Below are 14251 nucleotides of genomic sequence, written 5' to 3'. Positions count from 1 at the left end.
GACATGTTTTTTTTTGAGATTTCAAGATACATAAAAATCTCCCTGGGAAACTTCAAAATTGAGTCATTTATTTCCGAAATACCCATTGAGGTAGAGCTCCTAGTCCCTTTGAGAAGCATGAAAGAATTATCTGTGATGATGAGGGGAGCAGTGATATGAATCATCTACGATGGCAGCCAATCTAAAATTAATTTACATCTGGTTTTAGAATACGCTTTGATATTTGCTTTTGAACATGAATTTGAAGGATGATCTGTTTAAAAGGTTATAATACTTCAAAAAACAGACTGACGTCACCATGAGAATCCGACTTGGGAGGAATAAGAAAGTTGTCCCAGAATCATAATTCTTTTTCCATTCCTGACACTCATGCAGCTAAAATAAAGCACCAGCCTAAATGAAACACAGACTGCATTTCTCAGTCATGCGTATAAGCTGAATGGGATAGAAAAATATATAAGAAATTGGTAAGATCATTAAATAAAGATTTGCCTATGATATACCATCATCCCTCAGTATCCATGCGGGATTGGTTCCAGGATCTCCCAGGATATCAAAATCTGTGGATGCTCAAGTCCTTGATATAAAATGCTGGAGTATTTACACAAAACCTATACAACCCTCCCATATAATCACGAGTAGCTTAACTACAGGGATACATTCTGAGAGACGCCTTCTTAGGTGATTTCATCATGGTGGGAACATCAGAGTATACTCACACCAACCTGGGTGGTATAGCCTACCACACGCATAGGCTGTATAGTGTGGCCTACTGCTCCTGGGCCACAGACCTGTACAGCATATTACTGTACTGAATACTGTAGGCAAATGTAACACAATAGTAAGCCTTTGTATATCTAAAAGTATCTAAACACAGAAAAGGTAGAGTGAAAATACAGTACTATAATCTTTCCAGACCACTGTGGTATATGTAGTCTGTTGATTGTTATATAGTGCACGCCTGTATTTTAAATCATCTCTAGATTACTTATAATACCTCCTAGTACAATGTAACTGCAATCGAGAAAAGAAAAATAGCTCAGAGCAGTCTGAGTTATGTGAGGTATGCAAAATTTATCAGGCCCAGAGAGACCAAGTATAGGACTTCATTTATGCTCCCAACACCCATGTCCGGGGGCAGTTGTTTAAAGGCATTTCATTCCTCCCTAGCTGCCTCATCCATTATCTTCATGTTCCTGGAATTTGTGATACAAAGAATAATGTATACCTTATGTAATTTTAGTGTAGAGTCTTGGTAAACAATTTAGGAATCGCCTCTTCTTTTCTTTTGCTTTTCTTTCAGCCAGCTTTTTGGGTAACTATTCTTTTTTTTTTTTTTTTTTTTTTTTTTGAGACGGAGTCTGGCTCTGCCAGGCTGGAGGGCAGTGGTGCGATCTCAGCTCACTGCAACCTCCACCTCCTGGGTTCAAGTGATTCTTCTGCCTCAGCCTCCCGAGTAGCTGGGACTACAGGAGTGTGCCACCACTCCCAGCTAATTTTTTCTATTTTTAGTAGAGAAGGGGTTTCACCATGTTAGCCAGGATGGTCTCGATCTCCTGACCTCGTGATCTGCCGGTCTCAGCCTCCCAAAGTGCTGGGATTACGGGCGTGAGCCACCTCACCTGGCCCTGGGTAACTATTCTTGTCCTTTAAAAACCTACTTGTAACTGCTGCTAATTAGAGTGTATATTCAGGGCAACTTGAATCTATGCTCTTGGGTTGCAATCTTCAAGCTTGGCCCAAATAAACTCTCTACTTACATTAACTTTGCCTGAGCTTCTTCCTTTTAGATTGACATAATAACAAGAAAATAAGTCTGTACTTATTCAGTACAGACACAATCTTTTTTCCAAATATTTTTGATCTGTGGTTGGCTGAATCCACAGATGCAGAACCCACGGATATGGAAGACCAACTGTACTGTTTTATCTAAGTGAGTTAATGAATTCTGAATGACACAAAATCAAGTGGGAAGAAAATTCACTTCCTTTACCCCAGTACAAGCCTATTCAAATCCATACGACTTAATAATATTCAAAGGCTAATGCATGAACCCATCTTCCCCTTGGCATTCTGGCACTTAGATGTCTAGGAAGGAAAGCTCCCAGCCAGGAACTCCTTAATCAGAAGTCCCATCTTCAGCTTTCTTGCGGGAAAGCAGCCAAGTACAACGCAAGAAAAATGGAGGTTTATTTCTAAGCTAAGACACCTGACAAAAACATGGAAATATGTCATACCACAAGGTGGAAAATGCTTAAAATTTTCCCAACATAGTGTCCTTCTCTTTGGAGTTCCTAATCATTTCTTCAGAATGAACAAGTGATTTTCCAATGCAGTTAGTAACTAACTCATATCTGAAAAGTCAAGTTATGAATTCTGATGACTATCTGTGTATTACAGGTCAGCTGTTCATAACAATGAATAATTTTCTTTTAAGAACTAGTATATTCTGGTATATTTCTCTTTTTTTTCTTAACAGGTCCCATGGAGAACTAAGAACTGGTGTATTTTTTTAACAGCTTTATTGAGATATAATTCATATACCATTCAACTCACTCATTTAAACTGCACAAATCAATGACTTCTAGCATATTCATAGATTTGTGCATCCATCACAATCAATTTTAGAACATTTCACTCCCCTGAAAAGTAACCCCCCACCTCTTAAGCATCAAATCCAGTTTATCATTCTCCCCACTGCTAACCACTAATTTACTTTCTTTGTTTTTGAGATGGAGTCTCACTCTGTTGCCCAGGCTTGAGTGCAGTGCTGCGATCTTGGCTCATTGCAACCTCTGCCTCCCAGGTTCAAACGATTCTCCTGCCTCAGCCTGCTAAGTAGCTGGGATTACAGGCACCCACCACCATGCCTGGCTAATTTTTTGTATTTTTAGTAGAGATGGGTTTCGCCATGCTGGCCAGGTTAGTCTCAAACTCCTGACCTCAAGTGATCCATAAGCCTTGGCCTCCCAAAGTGCTGGGATTACAGGCATGAGCCACCATGCCTGGTCCACTAATTTACTTTCTATCTCTATAAATTTACCTGTTTGGAATTGTATATAAATGGAATCATAAAAGCTGTGGTCTTTTGTGGCTGGCTTCTTTCACAAACATAATGTTTTCAAAGCTCATCTATGCTGTAGCATGTACCAGTACTCCTTTTCTTTTTATTCATATTATTTCACCAAATAATATTCCACTGTGTAGATCTATCACATTTCGTTTAGCAGTTTATCAGCTGGTGGACAATTTGGCTGTTTCCATTTTTTGGCTATTATGAATAATGCTGCTATGAGTCATAGAAACCATTCCTCTTACTCAAGAAACAGGTTCTCCAGAAACTAAGCTAAACTTGTTTGAAATGTAAATTCTCAGGTATTCTCAGTATAGACCTATAGATTCACTTAGCTGGTGGGGTCCACCCAACTTCTTTTAACAAGTCCTCCAGTGGATTCTGATGCAATGCTAACATTTGTGAACACTGTCAAAATCAAAATGGAGTCACTTGTGTTTAAAAATCCTGACAAATAAAGCCAGGGACAGCTATGAAGAGAGGGTTCTCATGCATCAATGCCTGATTAACAAAAACTATCCCAAATGACTCTGCAAAAACCACAATCCTGCACAAAGGTCATCACAACCTTACACAAAAAATATCTCCACAAGGACATCTGTCCAGCAATTGCCTGTCCAATCTCAGACTGGTCACACTTGTTACTGATCCTTGTAGCCAATAATAATTATCTTAAAAGAATTATATAATCCTCATTATTCCTTGAAAAACCTTTGTCTTCCTTTACCTCCTTGAATATGCACATAGTTTACTGTGGCACAAAGATTCCCACTGCAATACACTATTCCCAAATAAGTGTCATGTTCTTTTAGAGAGCCTCTGTCTGTTAATTTAGGTTGAAGGTTTGATAAAACAAGATTTTTAGTAGTGGCAATAGTCACTAAATTTCAGCTCAGAGGTTGATGCGCAAAGTTTTACCTCAAATAGTACTTTCTTCATTCATAATTTAAAAACAGTAACGTACTTTTCTTCTCAACTAGTAAAGGATAAACAAAGATAACAAACCTTTTAAATGTTTAACAAACAAAAATTCTCTAAATAACCTAACATTTTGAATGTGCAGGAGACCAGAATATGCCACCTCAAAACATGACTGTAGGAGACCAGAATATGTCTTCCCACGATAGGCTTCTTTGGCATAAGGATTACTTTGAGCTGATTATTTTGAGAAACAGCAGACAAAGGAAAAGCTCTGAAAACAGAGTAGAAGTTACCTCATTTGTAAGGGAAAATTACATCTATAAAAGGAAATCTCCATTTGCCTCTCTTTCTGTACCAGGGAGACAAGGATGACTCTAAGCCACTAGGAACTCTTACCAATGGAGAAGGCACCTGCCTAAACCTGCATAACAAACCTTATCCTTGTTTACTGTGCTTTTCCCGGTCACCTCCCCATTCCGGGCCTCCCCAACATCCTTCTTTGTTTCAGTTGAACACTGTAGTTAAACCTGAAGTCTATGCCACCTCTTTGAGATTTACTCATTTTGTAACCGCCCAACGGGTTCTTCCAGCTTGCTGCACAGACACAATCAATTCACTAAGACCACAGCCTTGCAATAAAGAATGACTTTAACTGACATGCAGCTGGCAACACCACACTGGAGACAGAGTTATTACTCAAATCAATTTTCCCAAAGGTTTGGAGGTTTTTCAAGGATAGTTTGGTGGGCAGGGGGTTAGGGAATGGGAATGTTGACTGGTTGGGGATGAAATCATAGGGATGTGGAAGGAAGATGGTCCTCCGGCACTGAGTCAGCCTGTGGGTGGGGCCACAGGACCTGTCTGTGTGGAGTCAGCCAGTCAGAAATGCAAAAATCTGAAAAGACATCTCAAACAGCCAATCTTAGGTTCTGCAATTGGGATGTTATCTACAGGAGTAATTGAGAAAGCTCTAAATCTTGTGACCTCCGGAATAATCGCTGGTTATCCTTTACACCTACATCTTAGCAGAATTCAGGACCCTCTCACAATTCTAAAGGGAGATTGTCTTTCCAAAATTACGACCATCAGAGAAATCTGACAAGACTCCAACTGATCAAGCAAGACTCTGTTTCTATTTTTTTTTTTACTGTGAAATGAAAAAAGGCAAAATGACAGTGTGACAATTTATGTGAATTTTTAAAAACACAAATCCAGTTGTTTATGAATGCATAAAAGGATTAAAAGTGAAGTGGAAGGATGCACACACAACTTATGATAAGGGCTGCTTCTGGGAAGGGTGGCAGGCACACTGAACTGGGGATAGGGTTAAAGGAGGCTTTGGCTATATTTCTAATTGCTTTTCCTTTAAACAAATAACCAGAAGCAAAAAAAAAAAAAAAAAAAAAGATGTTAGCAAATGTTAATTCTCAGTTATAGAAAAATGGCTCTTAATTACATTATTATACTTTTGTTAACCATAAATTTCTTAGAAAAATAAAGGAAAAGGATTTCAAAGTGCTTAGTTTTGTGATACCTCATCCCCTACACCTACTTAGATAGGCAGGCCACAACATACGCAGAAGCTGTGTTCTCAAAGTTCATTGGTTTTTAGACCTTATTTGTTTTCCCATCAACACAATGTTATACCTAACTGTTAGGTTCCAAGGCCAGCTCTCCCATTATTTAATGTATAACCTAACAAATGTTAAGCCTAACAGTACCTCTCTCACCTTCTCTAATCATGAGGCAACTGATCACTCACGATATGGCAAAAAGGGAACCCAAGAGTTGAGTTTACCCCTGCTCCTGACAGGGCACAGGCTAGATGTTTCTTTTCTTTTCTTTCTTACTTTCTCTCCCCTCTCTGTCTTTCTTTCTTTCTTATAATAGAGATGGGCCTCACCATGTTGCACAGGCTGGTCTCAAATTCCTGGCTTCAAGCAGTCCTCCTGCCTCAGCCTCCCAAAGTGCTGGGATCACGGGCATGAGCCACGGTGCCCAGCCCAGGCTTGGTTGTTTCTTTTCTTTTTTCTTTTTTTTTTTTTTTTTGAGACAGAGTTTTGCTCTTGTCATGCAGGCTGGAGTGCAATAGCATGATCTCAGCTCACTGCAACCTCCACCTCTCAGGTTCAAGCGATTCTCCTGCCTCAGCCTCCTGAGTAGCTGGGACTACAGGTGCCTGCCACCAGGCCTGGCTAATTTTTGTATTTTTAGTAGAGATAGGGTTTGACCAAGTTGGCCAGGCTGGTCTCAACCTCAGGAGATTCGCGTGCCTCAGCCTCCCAAAGTGCAGAGATTACAGATATGAGCCATTGCACCCAGCCCCAGGCTAGGTGTTTCTGTGTACAGAATGTTTTCAAGTTTGCTGGTCAGGCTTTATACATACATACATACATACATACGTACATATACATACATACACTTATATGCACACATGTATATATATAAAATATATACATATATAATATACACATATATCTTTAAAATATATAATATAAACTAAGTATGTATCAACTTATAAACTATACACACATATATGATATAAACTAATATAGTAATGTGCCACATAAGGATGTTTTGGTCAAGAACGTACCCCATATTCCACGGCAGTCCCGTTAAGACTATGATGGAGCTGAAAAATCCCTACAGCCTAGTAACACAGCTTTCATGATGTTGTAGCACAAAGCATTACTCACATGCCTGTGGTGATGCTGGTGTAAATAAACCTACTGCACTGTCAGTGTTATAAAAGTATAACACATACAATTATGTACAGTACATAACACTTGATAATGATAATAAACAACTACATTACTAATTCACATGTTTACTATACTATATATTATTATTTTAGAGTGTAACTCTACTTATTTAAAAAATTAACTATAAAACAGCTTGAGGCAGGTCCTTCAGGAGGAATTCCTGAAGAACGCACTGTTATCCTAGGAGATGACAGCTCCATGCCTATCACTGTCCCCGAAGGCCTTCCAGTGGGATGAAATGTGGAGATGGAAGGCAGTGACACTGATGATCCTGACCCTGTCTAGGTCCAGGCTAATGTGTGCGTTTGTGTCTTGGTTTTTAACAAAGAAGTTTAAAAGGTAAAAAGAAAGTTAAAAAATTTAAAGTAGAAAACAGCTTACAGAATAAAAATATACAGAAAATATTTTTGTACAGCAGTACAATGTGCTTGTGTTTTAAACTGTTATTACAAAAGGGTCAAAAAGCTGTAAAAAAATTTTTTAAGTTCATGAAGTAAATAATTTACAGTAAGCTAGGTTTAATTTATTATTGAAAGAAAAAAGCGTATGAATAAATTTAGTGTAGCTTAAGCATACCGTGTTTATTTTTATTTTTCATAATGTCTGCTCAGTAACAAGTGTACAGTGTTTATAAAGTCTACAGTAGTGTACACTCATATCCTAGGGCTTCACATTCATTCACCACTCATTCACTCACTCACCCAGAGCAACTTCCAGGCCCACAAGCTCCATTCATGCTAAGTTCCCTAGATAGGTCTATCATTTTTTATCTTTTATAACATATTTTTACTTTACCTTTTCTATATTTACATATGTTTAGATACAAAAATATTTACCATTGTGTTCCAATTGCCTGCAGTATTTAGTACAGTAACATACTGTGTAGGTTTGTAGCCTGTAGCCTAGGAGCAACAAGCTATACCATATAGCCTAGGTGTGTAGTAGGCTATGCCATCTACATTTGTGTTAAGTACACTCTATGATGTTCACATGACAAGGAAATTTCCTACTGACAATGTATTTCTACTGTTAAGTGATACATAACTATATGTATATTAGTTTGTATTGTTCAGTAATGGAGAGATTGTGTTAGACTCTAGGGGCCAGGGATCAAGTAACTGTACTAGGGTCCCCAACACTTAGGTGCCATGGCAATAAATAAATGAAGAGCTAACCAAATGCCTGCATTCTGGACAGCTCTGTTTAAAAGGTATTTCATGGAGTTTTTCATTTAATCAATAGAAATCCAATCACTAGGCCAGGCATGGTACCTCACGCCTGTAATCCCAGCACTTTGGGAGGTGGAAGCGGGTGGATCATTTGAGGTCAGGAGTTTGAGACCAGCCTGGTCAACATGGTAAAACCCCACCTCTACTAAAATACAAAAATTAGCCGGGTGTGGTAGCACATGCCTGTAATCCCAGGTACTTGGGAGCCTGAGGCAGGAGAATCGCTTGAACCCAGGAGGCGGAGGTTACGGTGAGTGGAGATCGCACCACTGCACTCCAGCCTGGGCGACAAGAGCGAAACTCTGTCTCAAAAAAAATAAAAATAAAAAAAGAAAAAAAAAAAGAAATCCAATCAATAAAAGCAGAGAATAGTTTCCATTCAGTAAGTGGTAAACAACAACTAATGCATTTGGCACTTTCTCTTTCACAGCTTCTATCTAAAGCCAATCTCATGAGGCACCAACTTTCATACCAGGCACTATCACTTCTCTGCTTCCTATATCTCCCTCCTCTCCCAGAGACAGAATGTTTCAGAAAGTAGATTTGCTGCCTAAGATTCATGTCATTGAAGCTGCAGTAGAAGAGTCATTTAATATATGAAATATAAGGCAAGACTTTTCAAAAAAAATTCTCTCTCAGAAAATACAAGTCACTTTATATTCAAATACTTACAAAGTACCTCTTGCTGTAGGAAGTTTTGCAATTTCCTTATTTTGAATACAAAGTACCAGCTGGGGATGACACAATACCCTAAAACAACCTCAGTTAAGGCTGCTTTGGCTAATGGTAATCAGTGAAACAAGATAAATTAAACACAAATTTAGTAATTATCCCTGGAGATATAAACTCACACTTCCATGTGTAAACTGCCATTGTAAGGCCAGCTTTTTATTTTGTTTATTCATTTTTTACTTTTTTTAGAGATGGAGTCTCACCCTGTTGCCCAGGCTGTCTCGAATTTGTGGGCTCAAGCTATCCACCCACTTGGCCTTCCAAAGTGCCAGGATTACAGGCATCAGTCACCATGCCTGGCCAGTAGACCAACGTTTTAAAGATCATTTTAGCTGGGCGCGGTGGCTCATGCCTGTACTTTGGGAGTCCAAGGTGGGCGGATAGCTCGAGTTCGGGACCAGCCTGGGCAACACAGGGAAACCCTGTCTCTACAAAAAAATATAAAAAGTAGCCGAACATGGTAGCGCACGCCAGTAGTTCCAGCTAGTCAAGAGGCTGAGGTGGAAGGATCACTTGAGCCTGGAAAGTTGCTACAGTGAGCCATGATCATGCCACTGCACTCCAGCCTGGGAAACAGAGTGAGACCCTGTCTTTAAAAAAAAATAGAAATCATTTGAAAAAGTAATAAAGTGGTTAAGTTGCAGTGACCACAAATATATACCAACTGGAAACACTGCAAAAAAAAAATTCTAGGCTCACGTCTGTAATCCCAACACTTTGGTAGGCCAAGGCAGGCCTGTGAGGTCAAGGCTACAGTGAGTGGTGATTGCATCACCGCACTCCAGCCTGGGCGACAAAGTGAGACCCTTTCTTAAAAAAAAAGTCTAATGTTATGCAAGTGGATACTTGTAACTTGGAATAAACTGTTCAGTGGTAACACCTTATTCATATTCAAAAACGATGTATCTCAAGAACTGAACATGTGGTCCGGAAATCCACATTGGCTGACTCAAAAAGTGGCTCCAGTGATGATAAAAATAGTGAAGTCAAAGATGCATGTGAAGAGTCTGAAAAGAAACATTTTATAAATAAGAAGAGGAGGAAAACCAGCATTTCTAAATTAGTGTTACTTTATAAAGTAGGTGATTTTAAGTAGGTATATGGACCCAAATTTAAATGTAAATTTTGTAAGCAGGTATTTTTCACTTATATACCTAAAAGTACATGTATTTTCAACTTGACCAAAAACAACCTTTTGGACTTTTTAATGGGGAAATTTTGATATGCAGGATTACTTTACACTTGGGCAATATGGTATATGCTGAATTTCAATAAAATAAAATGGATTCAGAAAGCTAGCCTACTGACCACCTAACCAAGCAGAGCTCCAGTCCCTTCTATCAGAGGCATAAAAAGTTGGGAAGTTTTATCATATTTAGTGATTTGTTCCACCTCCATTTACTAATATTTTGGATCCTATAAGCTGAAATAAGTCAACAGCAGGTCAGGATTCTGTTCCGCTGGTCCCTCCTTAGGATATGTGGTGGCCCACTGCCCGAACCTGAAGCCAGCACATCACCTGCCTCTTAATACCCTGATAGGGGCCCACCCGCCCAGCTCACCTCATTTCCTACCACATCCAACCTGCACCCTCCGTTCCTGGTAAGCCATCTTAACGCCCCCAGTCAAGCCTGAGTCTTCCCTCAAAACAGCTCTCCCTCCTTGAATGGCTGCCCCAAACTCTATTTTTTACAGCCCACCCAGTTCCACGTTCTCCATGAAGTCATCCTGACCACCTCAGCCCACACAGATGGCTTTTCAACTCCCCAAAATCCTCGTGCAAAGCAGTTATAATTTAGCACTCTGTGACTGCCTATAGCATATTCTTCTTATTTTTTTCTTTTTTGAGATGGAGTCTTGCTCTGTCACCCAGGCTTGAGTGCAATGGTGCAATCTCGGCTCACTGCAACCTCCGCCTCCCAGGTTAAAGAGATTCACCTGCCTCAGTGTCCTGAGTAGCTGGTATTACAGGTGCACACCACCACGCCTAGCTAATTTTTGTATTTTTTTAGTAGAGATGAGGTTTCACCATGTTGGCTAGGCTGGTCTCAAACTCCTGACCTCCAGTGATCCGCCAGCCTCAGCCTCCCAAAGTGCTGGGATTACAGGAGTGAGCCACCGCACTCGGCCTTACAGCATATTCTTTTTTATCTCTCTAAGATAAAAGAATTTTGAGGGCAGGGATCAAGACTAATAATTCTCTTATATTCCCCTCAGAGTTCAAGTCACTTCATTGACAATGAACCATGCCAATGGTTCAATGACACCATGCCATTTAAAGTGGAGGACGCGTTTGCCTCTGTTCAAAGACAAACTCAAAGAAAAACAGTAGTATCTTTTGTAAACACCTGTTTTTGGCAAGGCTGCTACCTCTGAGACTATCAGTATTAACCTACTGGCCTGAATCAGAGTGTCTGCAATGGGATGATTCCAGATGGCACAATAAGGAAGGCAGGCACTAACAATACAACCATGTCTTGTTCTCTAGTGTCATGAAAGGCCCTCCCTGCATCTGCATTAACAAAACAGCTTAGCAAGGTAGAGACCTTCATAAAAATATCCAGAGCTGACCATTTCTCATTACCTCCACTACCGTCACTGTGAGCTAAGCCACCGTCACCTCTCTCCCAGGATACTGCAATAGCCTCCTAACTGGTTTCCCTGTATCCACCCTCACTCCCCACCATCTACTCTTGACAGTAACCTAAATGAGCCTGTTAAAATGCTAGTCAGACTGTGTCACTCCCCTGCTCAAAACTCTCTGATCATGGATCAGTCTAAGTCCTGGCAGGAAACAGATGGCACAAAGTGGGTGATTTGAGGAGAGTTTATAAAGGAACTATTTACAAAGATGTGGGCAGGTGTAGGGAAACCACAAGAGAAAATGCAGTATCTGGAGCTGGTAAATCAGGGGTACCTGAACTCCTCATAGACCTGAAGGTGTGAAGGATGGAGAGGGAGGGAGACAAAGAGCTCCGCAGAGAAGGCACATGACAGGAAATGTGACCTTAAGTCTAAGGAAACCCCACCCCACACAAGCCTGCAGGAGGGAAGAAATACAGTGGTCTCATTCTTCTCCTTCTCGGTCACCCCCAGCAATACTTCCCATGGCCCGCAGCCATAAAGCAAGGCAACCTGTCAGTGCAGGGCCCCCTCCTGGGGCACATCTACAGAGCAGGCTAGAAAAGGGCCAAGTGAATCTGGGGCAGTAAATGGCAGGTATACAGCCAAGTGGCTCTCCATCTCAGTCAGGGTATTTTAAAGTACTTCCAAAGGCCAATGAGACCCTACATGATCCGACCCATCTCCTACTCTCTGGTTTGCTAAGCCCCCTGCTCACCTGGCATTCTGCTGCCTTGGTCCTTTGTGCTTGCTGCTTTCTCTGCCCAGAATACTCTTGCACCAGATCCATGATGGCTTCCTCCCTCATCTGAGACTTCAGGTCTCAGATCACATGTGTTGTCACCAGAGGGTTCCCCTTAACACCTTATATGAAGACCTCCCCTGCTCCCACCCCACCCATTCCTGACACACCCTATCCCCTCTATCCCAAGGTGTTACTCTCCACAGCGTTTCTAATTAACATTTTATATTGAGATAGCTATAGATATTAACTCTTTTAATTGACTGCCTCATTGGCCTAGAAACAGTTTCATAAAGGCATCAACTTGGCCTCTTTTGTTTAACAACTTATGCCGAGTGTCTAGAACAGTGCCTGGCACGTAGAAGGCGCTCAAGTATTTGCTGAATGAATGAGAATCAACGAATGGAACAGACGACTCACAGCTAAGGACTCCTTCCACTATTTATAGGTTTAACTCCTATTACCAAATTATTGCTTAACAAATAAACCGAGTCTTCTGATAATCAGATAGGAAGCAGGTAACAAGCATTTATTTTTTGTTTGTTTTTTTTTTTAATTTGAAAAGCTTTCATCTTAAATAGACACAGGGTCTTGCTATGTTGCCCAGGCCAGTACCAAAATCAGTATAGTCGTTTTTTGTTTTAAGAGACAGGGTTTTACTCTGTTGCCCAGGCTAGAGTACCGTGGCTCGATCATGGCTCATCTGTGAACTTCTGAGCTCAAAAACAATTCACCCACCTCAGCTTCCCAAGTAGCTGGGACTACAGGTGCATGCCACCACGCTCAGCTACTTTTTTTTTTTTTTTTTTTTTTGGTAGAGACAGGGTCTTGCTATGTTGCCCAAGTTGGTCTCTTGGGCTCAGGTGATCTTCCCGCCTCGAACTCCCAAAGTGCTGGGATTACAGGTGTCAGCCATCAATTTGTTTTTACTGGCAATGGCACAAAATTGAGCTATCAGTAAATGGAAGCTTTAGTTAAAACTGAAAGAGTACTAGTATATCCTCTGTAAACAACTCCTCCTAACAAGGTTGTTACTTTTGATGAATGTATCATTAACCTACCAATGTGGTAGGTCTCTAAACCTCAGTCTTCTCATCCATAAAAAGTGAAAGGATTGAATGATACCACATATGGAGAGCATTTAGCACTGTGCTGAGACTCAATAAATGGTCACTAACATGATTATTAAAACAGTGAGGAAGGCCACAAAAATGAGATACAACATTATCATCCTACTACCTGAAACTGTTCATCCTAGACTCTAATAATGTGTGCTGGAATAACAACATGAAAAAGAAATATAAGATTCTTTACTGTCTGCCATACCGTTGGGTCTAGATTTGAAAGATACTCGCACCAGGAGCAGTGGCTCACGACTGTAATCCCAGCACTCTAGGAGGCCGAGGAGGGCAGATCACTGGAGGTCAGGAGTTCAAAACCAGCCTGGCCACATGGTGAAACCTGTCTCTACTAAAATACAAAAATTAGCCAGGCGTGGTGGTGGGCGCCTGTAGTCTCAGCTACTCTGGAGGCTGAGGCAGGCGAATGGCGTGAACCCGGGAGGCGGAGGGTGCAGTAAGCCAGTGCATCCCAGCCTGGCAACAGGGCGAGACCCCATCTCAAAAAAAAAAAAAAAAAAAAAGGCAATCCCATAGTCTAAGGTCAGATAATAAGTAAAACACTTGACCTGAATCAACTCAGCAATCCATCATTTAGGAATTCTGCAAAGATCCTGTAGGTTTTTCATCAATGGGAAATTTCTTTACAATCTTTTGCAGTCAGCCTTCCCTGGGACACACTGGTAGGCAAACCAACCTGGAGAATTAGCTAGATTCGAGAGGTGAGGATTTCCTTTGCTACCCTAAATTCCATGAAGTTTAAATCTCCAGTTAAAATATTTTCTCTGCTACTTTGTGAATAACCACGTATCAAGCCCTTGTTTCTGTTATAAATTTATAATTCTATTTAGTCATAACTGTACAATAAAACAATTATTGTTACTAATTTTGCCAAAGTACAGGCTTCCAACTTAAAGTAGGAAATACAAAACAGGTCTCTCCAAGGTAAAGCCTGGAGACTGATCTCACTAAGAGATCTTATTTCAGTAAGCAGCAGAATGTTCATTTATTAGTGTTAAGAATTATCCTAACCACTTCTCCTAGGGACAGAT

General features: G+C 40.6%; 2 protein-coding genes across 3 annotated transcripts in view, besides 1 other annotated feature; both read right to left on the bottom strand.

Annotated features, from left to right (window-relative positions):
- The window catches only part of CHURC1-FNTB (CHURC1-FNTB readthrough), a 148295-nt gene that overhangs the window by 60489 nt on the left and 73555 nt on the right, over positions 1–14251 (bottom strand). The gene's annotated exons all lie outside the window — the stretch shown is intronic.
- The window catches only part of FNTB (farnesyltransferase, CAAX box, subunit beta), a 75756-nt gene that overhangs the window by 60484 nt on the left and 1021 nt on the right, over positions 1–14251 (bottom strand). The gene's annotated exons all lie outside the window — the stretch shown is intronic.
- Positions 11520–11639: an enhancer, noted in NCBI's record as "active region_8540". NCBI's record gives its function as "activates an Ori minimal core promoter by ATAC-STARR-seq in GM12878 lymphoblastoid cells {active_cell/tissue: GM12878}" and the evidence as "EXISTENCE:reporter gene assay evidence [ECO:0000049][PMID:35858748]".

This window comes from Homo sapiens, chromosome 14, assembly GCF_000001405.40.
Source record: "Homo sapiens chromosome 14, GRCh38.p14 Primary Assembly".
Classification (NCBI taxonomy): Eukaryota; Metazoa; Chordata; class Mammalia; order Primates; family Hominidae; genus Homo; species Homo sapiens.
This window is presented reverse-complemented; position numbering and strand designations above follow the sequence as displayed.